Source organism: Homo sapiens, chromosome 2 (genome assembly GCF_000001405.40).
Source record: "Homo sapiens chromosome 2, GRCh38.p14 Primary Assembly".
Lineage (NCBI taxonomy): Eukaryota > Metazoa > Chordata > Mammalia > Primates > Hominidae > Homo > Homo sapiens.
In genome coordinates this window covers 85814725-85835277 of record NC_000002.12, presented here as the reverse complement: position 1 = coordinate 85835277, position 20553 = coordinate 85814725, and the positions used below count along the sequence as shown (strand labels likewise).

Here is a 20553-nt window from a genome sequence, read left to right as displayed (position 1 = left end):
AGTTTTTCCCTATCAGTATTATATTAGCTAGGAGTTTTTCATAGCTAATGACCTTTATTATTTTGAAGTATGTTTCTTCTATACCTAGTTTGTTGAAGGTTTTTTTCTTATAAAGGCATGTTTAATTTATTGAATGCTTTTTCAGCATCTATTGAAATAATCATATCGTTCTTGTTCTTGGTTCTCTTAATGCGATATATTGTGTTTATTGATTTGTATGTTGAACCATCCTTGCATCCCTAGGATGAATCCTATTTGATCATGATGAATTATCTTTTTAATGTGTTGTTGAATTCCATTTGCTAGTATTTTTTTGAGGATTTTTGCATCTATGTTCATCAGTGATATTGGCCTATAGTTCTCTTTTTTGGTTGTGTCTTTGTCTGGTTTGGTATCAGGGTAATGCAAGCCTTATAGAATGAGTTTGGAAATATTCCCTTCTCTTCAATTTTTATGAAGCATTTGAATGGAATTGGTCATCATTCTTCTTTAAATGTTTGGTAGAATTCAGCAATAATGCAATCAGGTCCTAGACTTTTCTTTGATGGGAGACATTTTATTATGGCTTCAATCTCATGACTCATTAGTGGTTTGTTGAAATTTTCTATTTCTTCATGGTTTCAATCTTGGTAGGTTGTATGTGTCCAGGAATTTGCCCATTTGTTCTAGGTTTTCCAACTTGTTGGCATGTAGTTGTTCATAACAGCTTCTAATGATTTTTTGTATGTCTGTGGCATCAGTTGTTATGTCTCCTGTTTCATTTACAATTTTATTTATTTGAGTCTTCTCTCTTAGTTAATCTAGCTAAAGGTTTGTCAATTTAGTTTTTGCCAAAAAAAAAAAACCTTTTCATTTCATTGATTTTCTTTATTTTTTAGTCTCCATTTATTGCTGCTCTGAATTTTATATCTTTTCTTCTAATTTTGAGTTTAGTTTGTTCTTTTCTAGTTTTTTGAGGTACATCATTAGGTTGTTTATTTGAAGTCTTTCTACTTTTTTGTTACAGGCATTTATTGCTATAAAATTCCCTCTTAGTACTATTTTTGTTGTATTCTACACATTTTGATATGTCATTTTCCATTTTCATTTGTTTCCAGAAATTTTTAAAATTTTCTTAATTTCCTTATTGGCCCTAGGTCATTCAGGAGTGTGTTAATTTCCATGTGTTTGTGTATTTCCCAAGGCCCCCCTTGTTATTTCTAGTTTTATTCCATTGTGATCAGAAAATATACTTGATATGATTTCTACTTTTTTGCATTTGTTGAGACTTGTTTTGTGGCCTAATATACAGTCTGTTTTGGAGAATGTTCCATGTGCTGATGAAGAAAATGTGTATTCTGCAGCAGTTGGGTAAAATGTTCTGTAAGTGTCAGGCCTAATTTGATCTGGTGTGTAGTTTAACTCCAGTGTTTCTTGATTTTCTGTCTGGATGACCTGTCCATCACATATAGTAGCATGTTGAAGTCCCCTACTATTATTGTATTGCAGTCTATCTCTCCCTTTAGATTTGTTAATGTTCGCATTATATACTTGAGAGCTCTGTTGTTCAGTACATAGATATTGATACATATTTCCTCCTGCTGAATTATTCCCTTTATCATTAGTGATCTTCTTTGTCTCTTTTTACAGTCTTTGATCTGTAGTCTGTTTTATCTGATGTAAGTACTTACTTATATCAGCTACTTACTCCTGCTCTTTTTTGGTTTCCAATTACATAGAATATCTTTTTCCATCCCTTCACGTTAGAAGTGAAATGATCTTCTTGTAGGCAGCATATAGTCAGGTCTTATTTCTTTATCCATTTAGCCATTCTATGTCTTTTAATTGGAGAACTGAGTCCATTTACATTCAGTGTTTTTGTTGATAGGTAAGGACTTACTACTGCCATTTTGTTGCTTGTTTTCTGGTTGTTTTGTAACTCCTCTCTTCCTTTCTTACTGTCTTCCTTTGTGGTAAGTGATTTTCTCTGATAGTATGTTTTAACGCATTGCTTTTTATTTTTAGTGAATCTATTATAGATTTTTGCATTGTGGTTACCATCAGGCTTACCAAAAAAATCTTACAGATACAACAAGTTATTTTAAAGAGATGGCAGCATAGATCACACAGAAAATAGAAACAAAGAAAAATGTAAAAACAAAAAACTGAAAAAACCTCTACACTTTAACTTCATCCTCCCCACATTTTGGCTTTATATTATCTCAATTTATATATCTTTATATTCCCTATCTCCCTTTTTTTTTTTAATTTTTTTTTTTGAGACAGAGTCTTGCTCTGTCACCCAGGCCAGAGTGCAGTGGTGCAATCTTGGCTCACTGCAAGCTCCAACTCCTGGGTTCTCACCATTCTTCTGGCTCAGCCTCCTAAGTAGCTGGGACTACAGGTGCCTGCCACCACGCCCAGCTAATTTTTGGGATTTTTAGTAGAGATGGGGTTTCACCATGTTAGCCAGGATGGTCTCGATCTCCTGATCTCGTAATCTGCCCACCTCGGCCTCCCAAAGTGCTGCGATTACAGGCGTGAGCCACCACACCTGGCCGATATTCCCTATCTCTTAATAGGTTGCTATAACTATTATTGTTTTTGATAGATTTGTATTTGGGGCTTTATACTAGATAGATAGATTTGTATACCATAGTTATGATGTGGATTATATACCACAATTACAGTATTAAAGTAATACTGGGTTTATCCATGTATTTAATTTTACCAGTGGGTTTTAAACCTTCAAATATTTTCTTTTTGCACATTAGTGAGTTTTTTCTTCTTTTCCTTTTTTTAGTTTCTTTTCTTTTACTTTTCTAGTATCTTGAAAACTATCATAGCTCACTGCAGGCTCGAATGCTTGGGCTCAAGCAATCCTCCTCCCTCAGCCTCCCAAGTAGCTGGGACTACAGGCACTGCTGTGCCCAGCAAATTATTTTGTGTAGAGACAGAGTCTCACCATGCTGTGCAGGCTGGCCTCAAACTCCTGGGCTCAAGCAATCCTCCCACCACAGCCTCCTGTGTAGCTAGGACTACAGGTGTGCACCACCACACCCAGCTAATTTTTAGTTTTTTGTAGAAATGGGGGTATCACTATGTTGCTCAGGCAGGTCTTGAACTCCTGGACTCAAGCAATCCTCCTGCTTCAGCCTCCCAAAGTGTTGGGGTTACAGGTGTCAGCCACCATGCCCAGCCTGTTAAAGATTTCTAAAACCATGGATCACTTCGTTTTGGCTACATTCTAACCCTATCACTTTGGGACCTGGGAGGCAGAGGTTGCAGTGAGGGGAGATCCCTCCACTGCACTCTAGCCTGGGTGACACAGTGAGACTCTGTCTCAAAAAAAAACAAGAACAGTAGTCAAATGAAAAAGTAGTTTCGCATTGACTGTTACTCATAATATATCAAGATGTCCCATCAGACTGGCTCATTTGAAGTGGGAAGAAATTGACCATCAGCCCTAAAGCAATGAGTAATTCAAGTGTACATCTGTAACTAAGTTATAAACTCTGCAGTGAAAGAATTTTATTATTCCATCTCAAGAACCTATAACAAGGCCTCGCCTGTCGTAGGCATTAAATAAATATGTTTTGATTTTATTTGATTTCATATCTTTGGTGGAACATGAAGATGGGCAGTTGATGGTCTAAGATTGAATACAATGAAGAGCTCTTGAGTCTAGAATCTGGGATAAGGGAGTCTTATGCTAAGAGGAATGGAATATAGGTAACTGAAGCAATAAATGAACAGTTGCTTTTTTTTATATGTAATTGTCCTAGTGATTTAAATCGTATTTTAAAAAGTGTCAAAAGCCAGATAGGCCCATTTAATGTCTGTGTACATATCCATACATTTTAGAAAACCAGCTTACTGCTGAAGTTTACAAAATACATGTGTACCCTACCTTTTCAGAGACCTGCCAAGGTATATCAAAGTGTGGGCTGGAGCTTCAGACTCTAATAGGGAAATTCCTGAGTCAGAGGCTCTGTGATTTGCGTTCAAGGCAGTTGTCATGAGTTTATTACATGGAATTTGGAAACCAATATAATATAACTCTATTGTATTGCATATTTGCTTTTTAAAAATTTTTGGCCATCATTATATACTCAAAGATTATTTTTAAAAGATGGTAATTACTACAGATCTGATCATTTAAATACAACCTTGTATTTAAAATAATGGTGGACAAAAGACCTTTTGATTATGGGGTTTTGTTCTAGAGCTGCGTGAGCTTCCATTGTGATAAGCTGAAAAGGGGGTCACTTTCAAAACCTTCACACACACACACACACACACACACACACACAGTCTTCATGTGTTCAGGCTGCTACAACAAAATAACATACAGTGGGTGGTGTATAAACAACAGAAATGTATTTCTCCCTGTTCTGGTGGCTGGGAAGTTCAAGATCAAGGTGCAGTGTCTGGTGAGGTGCCACCTGCTGGTTCATAGATGGCTATCTTTCTGCTGTGTCCTCTCATGGTGGAAGGGGTGTAGGAGCTCTCTGGGCCTCTTTTGTGAGGGTGTTAATCTCACTCATGAGGCTCTACCATCATGACCTAATCATCTCCCAAATGTACCACCTCAAAACACCGTCATATTGGGTGTTTGATTTCAATATATGAATTTGGGGGTCACAAACATTCAGACCATAGCACACATTGATTCCAAACAAATGAAACTATAGATTCCAGCCTAAACCAAGCATCTTGTCCTCGAACAAAAGGTTGAGTGGAATAGCATGTCAATGGCCTTCCCTTCTCCATCTTTTGCCGATGGCTCACCTATATCACTTTTGTCGGCAAACTTGGCCTAAATTTAAGAACATGGTGTGCACTGTGATGCCAGGGGGGCAGCTAAGGAGAGGTCAGAGGGACAGGCCTCCTGTCTTCTTGCTAAACTCTCCAGCTCTCCCAACATGACCACTATTAGTCCCACAGAAGACTGACAAGGCATAGAAAAACCACCTCATTCAACCTCCTGCTTCACAGAGGAGCAGCTCCTTTCAGGTTCATGCACACTGGGGTGTGCAACCTCACTTCCTACACTGCCCAGTCAGCAAGTCAAATATCCTGAGGTTGTCTTTGGACAATATGACCAGCACACTCACTGCTTTATATACTTATTCCTAGTGACCTAGTTTATGTTTTTAACACCTTTATCCCAAGATGTTTGGAGTCACTTTCAGAAGGGGCTCTCCTGATGACATCTGTCTCAGCCTGAAGCTACTTCAAAGTGTCTCCAGAATTTTCCTCAGTCCCCCTCCATACAGAGGCAGTCCTGATTTTCTTTCCCTCTCCCATCTCTCTGCCCACCCCTCTCCCTCGCTCACTTCCTGCCAGGAGTTCAAGACCAGCCTGACCAACATGGTGAAACCCCATCTCTACTACAAATAGAGATGTATATAGTTTAATTTTCATTATCTGGATGACTACATTGGACTAATTTCCAATGTTAAATTTCAATCCATTTAGCAGAGAATCGTTATCCCAAACTTGCCCACTTCCTGCATTGTACTTCCCCACAAGAAAGAATCATCTGTCTTCAGGAAGTGGGCAAGTTTGGGATAACGATTTTGAGGAGATTCTGGCTGGAGGTAAAGAGCCAGATTCAAAGACCACAGTCTTGTTCCTGTTTGTCAGAGTCAAAGCTTCCTGCAGAAACAAAGAACTGCCTAATTTTTATTTATTTATTTATTTATTTATTTATTTATTTATTTTGAGATGGAGTCTCGCTCTGTTGCCCAGGCTGGAGTGCAATGGCACCATCTCGGCTCACTGCAAGCTCCACCTCCCAGGTTCAAGTGATTCTCCTGCCTCAGCCTTCTGAGTATCTGAGATTACAGGTGCCCACCACCACGCCCAGCTAATTTTTGTATTTTTTTAGTAGAGATAGGGTTTCACCATGTTGGCCAGGCTGGTCTTGAACTCCTGACCTCAAGTGATCCACCCACCTTGGCCTCCCAAAATGCTGGGATTACAGGTGTGAGCCACCATGCCCAGCCCCTGGACTGCCTAATTTGTATTGTCCAAGTTTGAATACTCCCCCAAAAAAAGATTTTATATATTTGTAACACTGAAATATGAAATACAAAGGAGAAAAGCTCATTTAGATCATTTTTTATTTCTTTAGCCTTCTGGAAGTCTCTATGTACATAAAGAGATAGGTGACTTCCTTTGTGTAATAAACTTGCATTCATGGAGCCCCTCAGCCGTCCCGCCCATGCACTGGGAAAATTCAGAACCTCTATTACCACCCACTGATGCAACTAGCTGCAAGAGGGAAGGGAGAGGGAAATGTTGTGAAGAGTTTGTCCTATGGGCCAACAACCCTCGTATCCACAGGAATGGCATGGCTGGGTGCTTGTCACCCCTAGGCTTTATGGGTACCTCCATGTTGTCATTGTCTGGCTCAAGGATCTACTGGCCCCAATTCTGGTTGAGTTCTGACTGGGTTGGAACAAAGGCCGTGCTGAGACCTATCTACTGCAGATGCACCCACACGTTTTCCAAAACTTGGGACTGAAATCGAACTCAACGATTGCTTTATTTTCCCACACACTAAAATACCCCCGGTTCTGGAATACGGAAGTGAGAATGACAAAGGGGGTCCTTCTGTAGGACCCTCAGTCCTGGCAGTCTGGCTGACCATTCTGGCAGAACATGCTGTTCTGAACACCATTTGTTCAAACTCTGAAACCAGTTGATGCTCTGCCCATCATTCCAGACACTCTTGGCTGTATCTTAGTACCCAGCAGGGCTGTCCTCGAAATACTGCCCTGTGGCTCCTGGCGCCACCTCCTATCCTGCCCTGCCAGCACCGCCACCTTTAGTTCCCATGGCCTGCAGAGAGCCATGGCTGGGCGCTGATGACAGGCTGCACCTAACATGGACCCTGCCTACTGTTCTGGATCCTCAGTCTAGAGGGAAAAGATGCTAAACAAGTCAACATGACAAAGGCGGTGTCAAAGCAAAGGGGAGGCGCACCACGGGAGCGCACCAGGAAAACCAGGTGAGTCTAAACTGAGACCAAAATGCTAATTAGGGGGCCGGCAGGAGGGCAGGAGGAGCGTTCCAGGCAAAACTAGCAGCTTTCGAGAAGGGTTGTTAAAGCAGGACATGCTTTAACAACCAAATCACAAAGTGAGCATAGGCTCAGGGTGTGGCTGCGATGAGGGAGATGAATGTAGGGGTAAGGAGCAATTTGGAGCCCCTGAGGGATGTTACAGGGGCGGGGGGGGCGCGGAGAGTGACTCAATTCAGCTTAAACTGAAAATCATGTGGCTCTGAGTGGAAAGAGAATGGGGAGTGGGGAACTGGGAGCAGAGAATCGATGGGAAAGCTGAGGAAGGTGATCTCACCGCAGGCAACACTGAAAAGCAGGTGGTGCTGGGGACCTAGACGGGTTTGGTGGACCTCAAGTCCTTCCAGGCTGCCTTCTGACCGGGTATTCCGCCAGCCACTTTTCTAGATCCCTTTGGGGTAGGTAAGGGGTGACTGGAGAGAGATCCTGGGACAGGAGCCAGGAGGCCAGGAGGCAGCCCCACCTTTGCCACAATGCCCCTGTAATGCTTTCAGGAAGGTCACAGCCCCTCTCAGAGGTTCCATCGGTTGAACAGGGGCTTGGCGAGGCCCCAGCTCTTTCATTTGTCGTTAATGAAAAGAAACCACCAGGGCTAAGAGGAGTGGCTGTTACAATGGTCCACCGCGCCACCTGGTGTTGTGAGGCCGCGTGCACAGCTCTCAGCGCCGGGCTACCAGGTGGCCCCCAGTGGGTCTGGCCCATTCTTCTGCAAGGTCCCCCCAGCCAGTAGGCTCTGGCACCGTCTTCAGCTGCTGGGGCACTTCTCTCCTCCCTGCACAGTCTGGATTTTCTCCTCCTTCTCTGACCATTTCTCGGGCTCCCCTCCCCTCTCCCACATCTCTGCCCCGATGCTCTTTTCTCTTCCCGAGATGGTCCACTCCCACGGGTCCAATTACTGCCTTTGATATTGCCTTTTTATTCCCATACCCAGGTCTGCAGCGGGGACTCCCCTCAAGTCCCCAGAGCCCCAGCCCATCATGTCCACATCCTTCAGGACATCATCTCCTCCCAGCCAGCCGGGACCTCAGACTCAGAAAGCTGACAATGCTGTGCGTCACCTCAGAGCTGACACAGCTCCTCCTCTGAAGAACTCGGTCTCCTCAACCTGTTAAAGGACATCTAGAAAAGGCCACAGCTAAAGGGCTTTCACTCAATGCTGAAACACAAAATGCTTTCCCCAGAAGATCAGGAACAAGACAAGGATGTCTGTTCACACAGCTTCTGTTCAACATTGTACTAAAGAGGCCAGCCAGGGCAATGAGGCAAGGAAATAAAGTAAAAGCCATCCATATTGGAAAGGAAGAAGTACAATTGTCTTCATTTGCAGATAACATGATCTTGTACGTTGAAAATCCTAAGGAATTCACTGAAAATGATTAAACTAATAAATGAGTTTAGCAAGTTTACAAGGATATGTGATCAGTGTACAAAAATCAGTTTATTTCTATACAGTAGTTATGAGCAAATAAAAAATGAAGTTAAGAAAACAATTCCAGTCTGGGTACAGTGGTTCAAGCCTGTAATCTCAGCACTTTGGGAGGCCGAGGCAGGTGGACCACTTGAGGTCAGGAGTTCAAGACCAGCCTGGCCGATATGGTGAAACCTTGTCTCTACTAAAAATACAAAAAATTAGCTGGGTGTGGTCGTGGGCACCTGTAATCCCAGCTACGCAGTAGACTGAGGCAGGGGAATCACTTGAACCCGTTAGGCAGAGGTTGCAATGAGCTGAGATCACACCGCTGCACTCCAGCCTTGGTGACAGAGCAAAACTTTGTCTTAAAAAAAAACTCATTTATATTAGCATCAGAAAGATACTTATGAACATATTTAACAAAAGAAGTACAAAACTTATGCTCTGAAAACTACAAAATATTGTTGAAAACTAAAGAAGATCTAAATGAGTGGAAAGACATCCCATGTTTATAGATTGAAAAACTTAACATTATTAAGATAGCAATACTCCCAGATTCCAAATTCAATGCAATCCCTATCAAAATTTCGACTTCAGCAATGGACAAGTTGCTTTTAAAATGCATATGAAAATGCAAGAAAACACAAATAGCTAAAGAAATCTTGAAAAAGTTGGATAATTTATGCTACCCAATTTTAAAACCTGCTATAAAATGACAGTAATCAAAACAGTGTGGTATGGGCATAAGGACAGATCTATACATCAACAGAATGGAACTGAGAGCCCAGAAATTAACCCACATATCTATGGCCAGTTGATTTTGAGCAAGAGTGCCAACTTCTTTCAATGGAAAAAGAATAGTCCCCTCAGCAAATGATGTGGGGACACCTGAATTTCCACATGCAAAAGAATGAAGTTGGATCCATATTTCACACTGTATAAAAAAACTAACTCAAAATGGATCAATGACCTATAAAGAAGAACTAAAATCATAAAAGTCACAGAAGAAAACATAGTGATAAATCCTTATGACCCTGGATTTGGCACTGCATTCTTAGATTGACACCAAAAGCATGAGCAACTAAAGAAAAAAACAGATAAACCAGCCATCAGAATAAAAAACTTTGGGGCTTCAAAAGACACTATCAAAACAGTGAAAAGACAACCCAAAGAATGGGAAAAAATTGTTTGCAAACTATAAACATAATAAGTTGCTTGTATCTAGAATATATAAAGAACAATTACAACTCAAGAATAAAAAGACAAATAGCCCAATTCAAAAATAAGCAAAGGATCTGAATAGATATTTCTTTAAAAAAGATATACAAATGGCCAATAAGCACATAAAGAGGTCCTGAATATTATTAGCCATGGGAGAAATACAAATCAAAACCATAATGAGATATCACTTCATGTCTGCTAGGGTAGCTTTAATTAAAAAGTCAGATGAGGCCGGGCACGGTGGCTCATGCCTGTAATCCCAGCACTTTGGGAGGCTGAGGCAGGTGGATCATGAGGTCAAGAGATCAAGACCATCCTGACCAACATGGTGAAACCCCGTCTCTACTAAAAATACAAACATTAGCTGGTCATGGTGGCATATACCTGGAGTCTCAGCTACTTGGGAGGCTGAGGCAGGAGAATCGCTTGAACCCAGGAGGCGGAGGTTGCAGTGAGCTGAGATCACGCCACTGCACTCCAGCCTGGCGACAGAGTGAGACTCTGTCTCAAAAAAAAGTCAAATGATTAAAAAAAAAGTTGAAAAAAATGTGGAGAAACTGGAACCCTTGTACATTGCTGGTGGGGATGTACAATGGTGTAGCCACTTTGAAAAACAGTCTGGAAGTTCCTCAAATGGTTATAAAGTTACCATGTGACTCAATTCCACTCCTAGGCATATGTCCAAGAGAAATGAAAACACATGTCCACACAAAAACTTGTACATGAATGTTCATGGGGACATCATTCCTAACAGCCAAAAACATGGAAACCAACCCAAATGTCCACCAACTGATGAACAGATAAATAAAATGTAATATATCCATACAATGGAATGTGATTTGGCCATAAAAAGAATGAGGAACTGATATCACGTGGATGTACCTTGACAGCATTACACAAAGTGAAAGAAGGGTCGTATATTGCATGATTCCATTTATATGAAATGTCTAGGATAGACAAATCTATGGATACAAAAAAGATTAATGGTTGCCTAGGGCTGGGGGAGATAGAGGAATCAGGGTGATAGCTAAGGGGTGCTGGGGTATTTTGAGTAAATGAAGAAGTTCTATAATTAATTGTAGTGATGAATGCACAGCTCCGTAAATATACTAAAATCCATTGAATTGTACCCTTTAGATGGATGCACTCTCTGGGATGTGAATTATATCTCAAGCTATTTTAAAATGTTGTTCAAGTTTTCTTCATCCTTCTGAAGACACTAAAGCTGTTGGCTCTGTGGCCTCCTCAAAACCCATGACATCTCTTTGTGGCCATTTGGGTGCTGCAGGTCAGGAATCAGTGATGTTCAACCTCCTTTGCTGGAGCCAACCTCCAGTTCCAGCTGAAGCCAACTTCCCTGACAAGCACCCCACCTCACCCCACCCAGCATGGATCCAGCTGTCCTTTCTGCTGCTTGACCAGGCTCCACTTCCAACAAGCATCTTGGAACCTCAAAGATTACACGCAGGCAATCCTCAGCTGCCACCGCACAACACATCACAGCTGCCAGGGAAGACAGTGGAAATGTCCTCCAATCTGGTCAGCTGCTGCTGCTCACTCTGAAGTTGGAGGGACACTCCCCTGCAGATTCAAGGAAGTGCAAAAGTCAGTGAAGGGGACATCATCTCCTTGACCCGAAGAAGGGCTCCATGCAGCTACCTGCATAGGCCCCTGCAAGGCCAGAGGGAAGACTCTGATGTCTCTTCAGGACCATCTTGTGAGATACCTTCCACTTCCTCACTTTCCTGTCTACAGAAATCTCCTGTTATCAAGTGTGAGGGTTAATACTGAGTGTCAACTTGATTGGATTGAGGGATATAAAGTATTGATCCTGGGTGTGTCTGTGAGGGTGTTGCCAAAGGAGATTAACATTTGAGTCAGTGGGCTGGGAAAGGCAGACCCACCCTTAATCTGGTGGCCGCAATCTAATCAGCTGCCAGCGAATATAAAGCAGGCAGAAAAATGTGGAAAGGTGAGACGGGCCTAGCCTCCCAGCCCACATCTTTCTCCCATGCTGGATGCTTCCTGCCCTCAAACATCAGACTCCAAGTTCTTCAGTTTTGGGACTTGGACTGGCTCTCCTTGCTCCTCAGCTTGCAGACAGGCTATTGTGGGATGTTGTAATCCTGTGAGTTAATATTTAATAAACTCATATATATATAAATACTTAATAAACTCATATATAAACATATATGAATTTATTATATATTATATATATTTATTATGAGTTTATTATATATATTAATTATATATAATTATTATTTATTATGAGTTTATTATATATATTAATTATATATAATTATTATTTATTATGAGTTTATTATATAAAGTATATTAAGTATATATAATTATATATATTATATATTTTTATAATAATAATTATAATATATTTTATATATAATAATAATAAATTATATATATAATTAGTTCTGTCCCTCTAAGACAACCCTGACTAACACACCAGGCCTCCAAATGGTCACCGAGGCTAGCTGGCTGTGCCCTGGAGGCTGAGTCCCTATAACCTGAGAACTTCCTTCTTCACATGTCCTGGTGCCCAGCCACAGAGAGAGGGAGACAAGTTTGCAGTGGACAGCTGTGCACAGAGAGGCTGACCCGCCCTGCCTGGAAGGGGATCACCAGCAGAAGCAGATTTGCCTGAAGCCAATGGAGCTTAAACTCCAGGGCACTCACGTGTACGTGCCCTTTTCAATTCTATTGTGATTTGACACCATACTTTGTATGATTTCTATTCTTCTACATTTGTTAAAGTGTGTTTTATTGCCCAGAAGTGTTCTTTCTTGATGTCTTCGTCTGCTCAGGCTGCTAAAACAAAATACCATACACCAGGTGGCTTAAATAACAAAAATGTATTTTCTCACAGTTCTGGAGATTGGAAGTCCAAGATCAAGGTGCCAGCCAGGTTGGCGTCTGGTGAGGGCTCTTCCCTTGGGTTGCAGACAGCCACTTTCTGGCTTTGTGGTCACACGACCAATGTGGAGAGAGAGGGAGGAAGGGACAGAGAGAAGCACGGGAGAATGCAAGCGCTCCAGTGTCTCCTCTTATAAGGACATTAATCCAACCGAGAGCCGTGGCTCACACCTATAATCCCAGCACTTTGGGAAGCCTAGACAGGTGGATCATCTGATCCCAGGCATTCAAGATCAGCCTGGATAACATGGCAAAACCCTGTCTCTACAAAAAACACAAAAATTAGCTGGGTGCAGTGGTGCCCGCCTATAGTCCCAGCTTCCTGGGAGGCTGAGGTAGGAGAATCTCTTGAGCTCTGGAGGCTGAGGTTGCAGTGAGCTGAGATCTCACCACTGCACTCCAGCCTGGTCGCCTGAGTGAGATCCTGTCTCAAAAGAAAAAAAAAAAAAAAAAGACATAAAAGACATCAATCATATTGGATGGGGTCACCCCCCATAGGACCTCATTTAACTTTAATTACATCCTTCAAGACCCCATCTCCAAATACAGTCACGTGGGGGTTAGGGCTTCAACCTATGAATTTTGGAGGGACACAAACATTAAATATCAAACACTTGCTGAATGTTTCATGTGAGCTTGTGTAGACTGTGTATTCTTGCTGTTGTTAAATGAAGTATTCCATAAATGTCAATTTAATCCAGACAATTGATGGGGCTATTCAGGTAAACTATGTAATTACTGATTTTCCACCTTCTGGGGCTGTCAATTACTGATAGAGGGGTATTGGCCTCTCCAAATATAATAGTGGATTTGTCTATTTCTCCTTGCAGTTCTATCAATTTTTGCCTCAGATAGTTTGACAGTGTTGTGAGGTGCCTGCATGTTAAAGATTGCTATGTTTTCTTAGAGAATTGATGCCTTCATCGTTATGTATTCTTTATCCCTGACAGCTTTCCTTGTTCTGAATCTGCTTTGCCTGAAATTAACATAGCGGTCCTAGGTCTCTTTTGATTAGTGACAGCATAGTTTATCTTTCTCCATTCCTTTACTTTGAATTTATCTGGGTCTTTATATTTAAAGAAGGTTGCTCTTAACATATAGTTGGGGTCTTGCTTTGTTTTATCCACTCTGACAGTCTCTTTTAATTGGTATATGTAGACCATTCACATTTAGTGATTGTTGATATAGTTAGATTGATATTCTAACAGGTTGATAGCTGTTTTTTATTTGTTGCACTTGTTCTTATTTCCTTTAAAAAATTTTCTCTCTTTTTCTGCCTTGTCTGGTTTTAATTAAGCATTTTATATGACTCTGTTTTCTTTCTTCTCCTAGCATATCAATTATATGTCTTTACATTTTTTAAAAGTTGCCCTAGAGTTTTCCATATACATTTACAACTAATAGAAGTCCATTTATAACAAGACTGTTCCCAATTCCTCCCTACTATACTTATAAGACAACTAGCTTTCATTTCACTTATCCGTATTCTATAATCACCCAACACATTGTTGCTATTATTACTTTGAACAAAGTAATAATCTATCAAAGTAATTAAAAATAGGAAAATTAAAATATTTTATTTTACCTCATTTATTCCTTTTTTTTTTTTTTTTTTTGGTCTACAGTCAGCCAATCTAAACTTATTCCTTTTCTGGCATTCTTTATTTCTTTAGTTCCAAATTCCTGGCCCTATATCATTTTCCTTTTCTCTGAAAATTTTATTTTAACATTTCTTGGAAGGTAGGTCTAACGGCTACAAATACCCTTTGACTGAGAGCAAATCTTATTTCTCCTTCACTTTTGAAGAATAATTTCATTAGCTACAGAATTTAATGGTTGTTTGTTTCTTTCAACACTTTAAATATCTTCACTTTCAACAAGCATCTTGGAACCTCAAAACTGACACATAAAATTAATCATTACAGGCTCTAATGGAAAAAGTAAACAACATACAAGAACAGATGGATAATATAAGCAGAGAGATGAGAAATCTAGGAAAGAATCAGAAGGAAATGATAGAAATCAAAAGTCTGGTAGGATGTGAGGCTGGCTAGGTGGGTATCCCCTTCCTCCCTCACCACTTCACATGCGTCCCTCTTGAAGCTGTGTGCTCAGTCGAAGAGGACAACTTTCCCTGATAGAGGAGGACCGTTCTTCAGTTACAGGCATGCAAATAACTGCACTCCCTTTGGGAGGTGATTAGGTCCTAACGGTGGAGCTCTGCTGATTGGGGTTCATGCCCTTTTAAAAGATGCCCCAGAGAGCTGACTTATTCCTTCTACCAGATGAGAACATAGCAAGAAGGCATTGTCTCTGAACCAGCCAAGAAGGCCCTCGCCAGACACTGAATCTGCAGTGCCTTGATCTCGGACTTCACAGCCTCCAAAACTGTAAGAAATAAATATCTGCTGTTTATAAGCCACCTAGTCTATGGTATTTTGTTATAGCAATCTGAACAGACTAAGACACATTGCAATTCTCAAATCCTCCCAGCAACACAGTGAAATAGGTATCATTCCCATCTTACAGATGAGGCAACAGAGGCTCAGACAGGTGGCATCACTTGCCTAAGATCACACAGATGCTAAGCCACGGAGCAGGGATTTGAATCAATGCTGTCCCTTCATGTCATGCAACTGTGCACAGACATTCTCCTACCTGACCTGAGATTAGGACTGTGGAGTCTCACCCACACCAGAAGCTCAAGCTGGCCCTGGCCAGGGGATTGGCAATGCAGAAATCAGGAAACCATCGGAAGGGGACTTCCAGCCACAGGTCTTGACCATGCAGCAACTGGAACAGGCAGTCTGAAGAGACCCTGTTACTCTAAAGAGATCCAAGAGTCCCAAGCCAAAAGGTTGTTAGACCCAGGCTCGTGTTTGCTGCCAGAGCTCTAGTGTGAGTACTCAGGTGGTCACTCTAGAATCTGACCTTGCATGGTAAATGTGATGTTATATGTTTTTTACCACCATAAAAAAAAAAATCCTGAATGTCATTGGAGCATTGTTGAGAAATAGCAAAAAAACTGGAAATTACCTAAATGTTCAACAATAATAGCCAACAGTCATTGGGTTCTTGCTATGTGCCAGGGAATAGTCTAAATACTTTATGTACATTATTTAATAACATCCTAAAATAAGGTAGGTACTATTATTATATCCATTTTACCAATGAGAAAACTGAGGCAGGCACAGGGAGGTTAGGCTATTACCCCAGGGTCACACAGTTAATGAGTGGTAGACAGGCTTTGCAGGCTGACTGTAGAAGCTGTTATCCTATACACAGTTTCAGTTGTTTCCACAGTTGATTAGAGTTTGCACCTTAATTTTTTTCTTAAATTTCCCCAGTTGGAACCGTTTAAAATTTTGTCATATATGAAGTGAAAGAAATCCAGTTATAGAATAATATATGTAGTATTATCTGGGTGGGGAGCATGGCTAGTTTGGAGTGTAATCTTATAGTACGTAGCATATGACATAGCTATGATCTATGACCAAGCAATTTCACTCCTGGGTATATACTTTTATCCTGGGGAATTCTCACACAGGTCTAAAAAGACAACACGTTTAAGAATATTTATCAGCCGGGCGCAGTGGCTCACACCTGTAATCCCAGCACTTTAGGAGGCCAAGGTGGGCAGATCACGAGATCAGGAATTTGAGACCAGCCAGACCAACATGGTGAAACCCCGTCTCTACTAAAAATACAAAAATTAGCCAGGTGTGGTGGCGTGCACCTGTAATCCCAGCTACTTGCGAGGGTGAAGCAGGAGAACTGCTTGAACCCAGGAGGCAGAGGTTGCGGTGAGCTGAGATTGTGCCATTGCACTCCAGCCTGGGCGTCAGAGTGAGACTCTGTCTCAAAAAAAAAAAAAAAAAAAAAATTATCACAGCATGTTGGGCGGCAATCTGAATGAGCAATCCCCCAGGGAGGGGGAGGTACAATGTGGCCGACGCATGCTCCATGGTACTATGTGGCAGTCAGAAGCAACCAACCTGGTGTCTACAGTGCAAGATGGACCTATCTTAAAATCAAAGAGCTGAGCGCAACAAGCAAACAGAGAATGAGATCTGTATCAGTCAGCGTCCAATCAGCAGAGTGGAAACGACGGCAAACATTTTAAACAGAAGGATTCAACACAAAGCATTAGTGAGTGACAGAGGTGTCAGAATTGCTGTAAGAAGACTACCTACAGATTTCTACCTACAGGAAGCAAAAGGGAAAATGGTGTTACCCAGGGGCCCATACTCACCAGCTGCTGCTGCTGTTGCTGCCACCACTGCTACCGTTGCTGCTTGGGAGAGATGCTGCCAGATGTCCCCTCCCCACTGTTAGCAGAACCTAACAGGTAGAAAGACAACGGAGTTGGAATATAATTTTCAGATTCCCAATCCCAGCAGTAGAGAGGATGGCAGAGACGGTGAGTGAGAGACAATAGACACGACCCAGCGCACTCCGCCAAACAGTTCCCATGTCACCCATGTTTAAACCTCCATATGACAACACTGACTACAACCCACGCTTCTGCCTAGCAGGACACAGCCGCTACTCGCCTAGATGAAGACACACTCATCCTCTCCACGAAAAATTCGACACGAAGTCCACTGCTTCCATCTCTGGGCTACGTTAATTCCTCATCTAGTTCAGTCACCAGTCCCACCGGAACTTTCTGTTACCTAAAAACTATATTGTAATGCTAAATGCCACCAACTTTTAAAATGTAAACGATTGGGAGAAAGACAGTGTGGGAAAATGGTGAATGTATTTCACAAGGAAGAAAATAATGCATAGCTCTCACAGTTCACATCTGTAAACGGTCACACGTGGATATCAGAATTTCCATGTTTGTAAGGACACACACCTGTGGCCGTACTTTGGGGTTCAAATCTAGGCAGCCAGGATCTGCCCACGTCTTCTGTTGAGCACCAAAGTGGTTGAGCAGGTGGGAGTGCTGACTAGACAGCATTCACTAGAGTATGTTAGGGAAGTGTTAGCCCTTCTCCAGGGACCTCAGTTGCAGACCCTAGAAACCAAGACCCAAACATCCTCCGACACCGTGGTTAAGAGAGCAGCCTCCGGGCCGGGTGCGGTGGCTCACGCCTGTAATGCCAGCACTTTGGGAGGCCGAGGCGGGCGGATCACGAGGTCAGGAGATGGAGACCATCCTGGCTAACATGGTGAAACCCAGTTTCTACTAAAAATACAAAAAATTAGCCGGGAGTGGTGGCGGACGTCTGTAGTCCCAGCTACTCGGGAGGCTGAGGTGGGAGAATGGCGTGAACCCGGGAGGCGGAGCTTGCAGTGAGCCGAGATCCTGCCACTGCACTCCAGCCTGGGGGACAGAGCGAGACTCCATCTCAAAAAAAAAAAAGAGTGCAGCCTCTGGAGTCAAAGAGCCAAGCTCCAGTCCAACTTCCTAGACGCAGGGCCTCGAGCAAGTTACTAACCTCCCAGTGCTTCTCATTAGTAATGGAAGAGAGCATTAGTGTAAAACACCATACAAACGTTAGCTATTCGTATTAATATCTGTCATTGTGAATTGTTTTGTTTTTTATTTTAATGTCTGAGGGCAGTCCAGAAAGGGCTACTCACAGTTGCTTGGGTTTTAAATTAATGTTCCATTAAAATGAAATAAACTAGTTATCCTTAGCTGTTATGTTCAGTCTACAAATCTTGTTATTCTGTTTATAAATGGGGCAAAATAAAAACAGTGACCTTCAATTTTCTTTGATTAATGAGCTATTAACTCAACTTGAAGACTCTGTTTCCTTAATAATTATTTGTAAATTTAATTAATTAAATTCTCTTAAACTCTGAACTGCATTATAAATGTAATATATTACATTTCTTTTGTAAGCACTTCAGTTGCCTAACAAAGCAATTGTATTGCCTTAACAAGCAAAATATCTTCAAATAATAAATTCTTATAAATCTAAGAAATAAAATGTTATTAAAATAGTGAAGCATCAGTTTTCCTTGAAATTCCAATAATTATTCAGAAAAATAAGGTCATTTTTTTCCCTTTGCAACTTAAAATCACAAGTCTAAATTCTTTTAAATTTTTTTTAAATTTTAGATTCAGGGAGTACATGTACTCGTGTGTTACATGGGTATTATATGTGTAATAGTGGAGACTGGGTTTCTAGTGTACCCATCATCCAAATATTGAACATTATATGCAATAGGAGATTCTTCAACCCTTCTCCCTGCTTCAACCCTTCTCCTCCTCCCTCCCAGCCTCCTCCCCAGTTTTGGGGTCCCCAGTGTCTATTATCTCCATCTTTACGCCCATGTGTACGCATCGTTTAGCTCCTACTTATAAGTGAGAACATGAGGTTTTTGATTTCCTGCTTCTGAGTTAGTTCACTTAGGATAAGGGCCTCCTGCTCCATCCATGTTGCTGCAAAGGACATGATTTCATTCTTTTTTATGGGTGCATAGTATTTCGTGGGGTATACAAACCACATTTTCTTTATACAATCAACAGTTGGTGGACACTTAGATTGGTTCCATGACAAGTCTAAATTCTAGTACATATTTAAAACTGGAGGCATCAGGCTAATCTGTCGGTCTTTAATGTTAGATTCTTTAGACTATTACAGTATTTTAAAGAAACAAACATACGAAGATTACTCCTAAACTTAGCATGAAAGTTTTGCTTCTAAAGGCTTACCTTATTTCACTATCTTCATGTTTAAACTCAAGCTTTCCCAGGTTAGAAAAGGGCTCTCGAAGCAGCAGATGCACCATCTCCAGCAGGACGAGGGTGTCACCCTTGGGTAACTGGTGACACTGGGCTGGCAGTTTCATTGCCACGAGTGCTTTTTTTTTTTTTTTTTAAGAGAGCTTAGTGTCTTCAAGTTGAGTTAATAGCTCATTAATCAAAGAAAATTAAAGATCACTTTTTATTTTGCCCTATTTATAAACAGAATAACATGATTTGTGGACTGAACATAACAGCTAAGGATAACTAGGTCTCTAATTTGGATCTCTAACCAAATCTCTTGGTTACAGATTTAAAACTGAGGACTGCAGATCTGGCTGTTGCAGAGTCCAGAGGGCCACAGTTGGACCTGCCAGGCCATTTTTATAGTTGTGATGACAATAAGGGGTCCCCAAGTTCATTCTTCTCAGATAGGATTGGCTTTGCAACCCAGGCTCCTGGGCATTTAGCCCCTTCCCCAATTTTCCATAACCTCCTTTTAACTTTCACTGCTTTAGATGGGGAGTGGCATGCCACATTCGTCACAACCAACTCCTTGCCCCAAGTTTCTGCAAATGGATTCAACCAACCTGCTCCCTGTCTGGGCCGTGTCTTGTTGGCTTCAGTTGCAGCGTGCAGGGCACTCCAAGGACACAGCACTTTCCCACGGGCACGTGTGGCTGCCCAGCACAGAGTTTAGAGGGGCAGGAACTTTTCCTGAGATAATCATTTGTCTTTTGTTCTTGACATATTTTCCTTCCCTGTTCAGCCAACCTTTCCTTTCCTGCTTTTATTTTCTAGGATCTGGAGCAATTTAAGGGGATTAGGCTGCGGGTTGGGGAGGGGAGGAAAAGGTTTGAGAAAGGTTTTGAGAGAACTCCATGGCTGGGAGCAGCAGTACCTGCTGAGGTGGGGGCGGGGGAGCAAGACCTCAGATGGCATAGCCAAGCTGTAGGGGGCCTCAGGGGAGCGAGTGGCATGGCCTCAGGCCCAGGCTGCCAAACTGGGCAAGGAGGCAGCACAGACCCCCTGAGGCTTGGACACGAAGCTCTCACAGTGGTGCTGACGCACTGAAGATTTAAACACTACTCCCTCACACCCATTTTCTGGCATCACCTTAGACTCCCTGGCTCTTGCACAGGCCTAGGGAGGAGCAGCACCCACTCCCATCTCCAAAAGCAAGTCAGAATGAAGTTTTCTGCAGCCCAGCCAGAGGCGGAG

General features: G+C 41.8%; 1 long non-coding RNA gene and 1 pseudogene across 1 annotated transcript; one reads left to right on the top strand and one right to left on the bottom strand.

Annotated features, from left to right (window-relative positions):
• On the bottom strand, positions 8490–20148 carry LOC284950 (uncharacterized). Its single transcript, NR_038888.1, has 3 exons — positions 19923–20148; positions 16882–16970; positions 8490–11282 (listed from the first exon to the last, which is right to left on the bottom strand). It is a non-coding gene; the product is annotated as an uncharacterized LOC284950 (long non-coding RNA).
• RN7SKP83 (RN7SK pseudogene 83) lies at positions 14666–14843 on the top strand (annotated as a pseudogene).
• Positions 20149–20553: the final 405 nt, after the last annotated feature.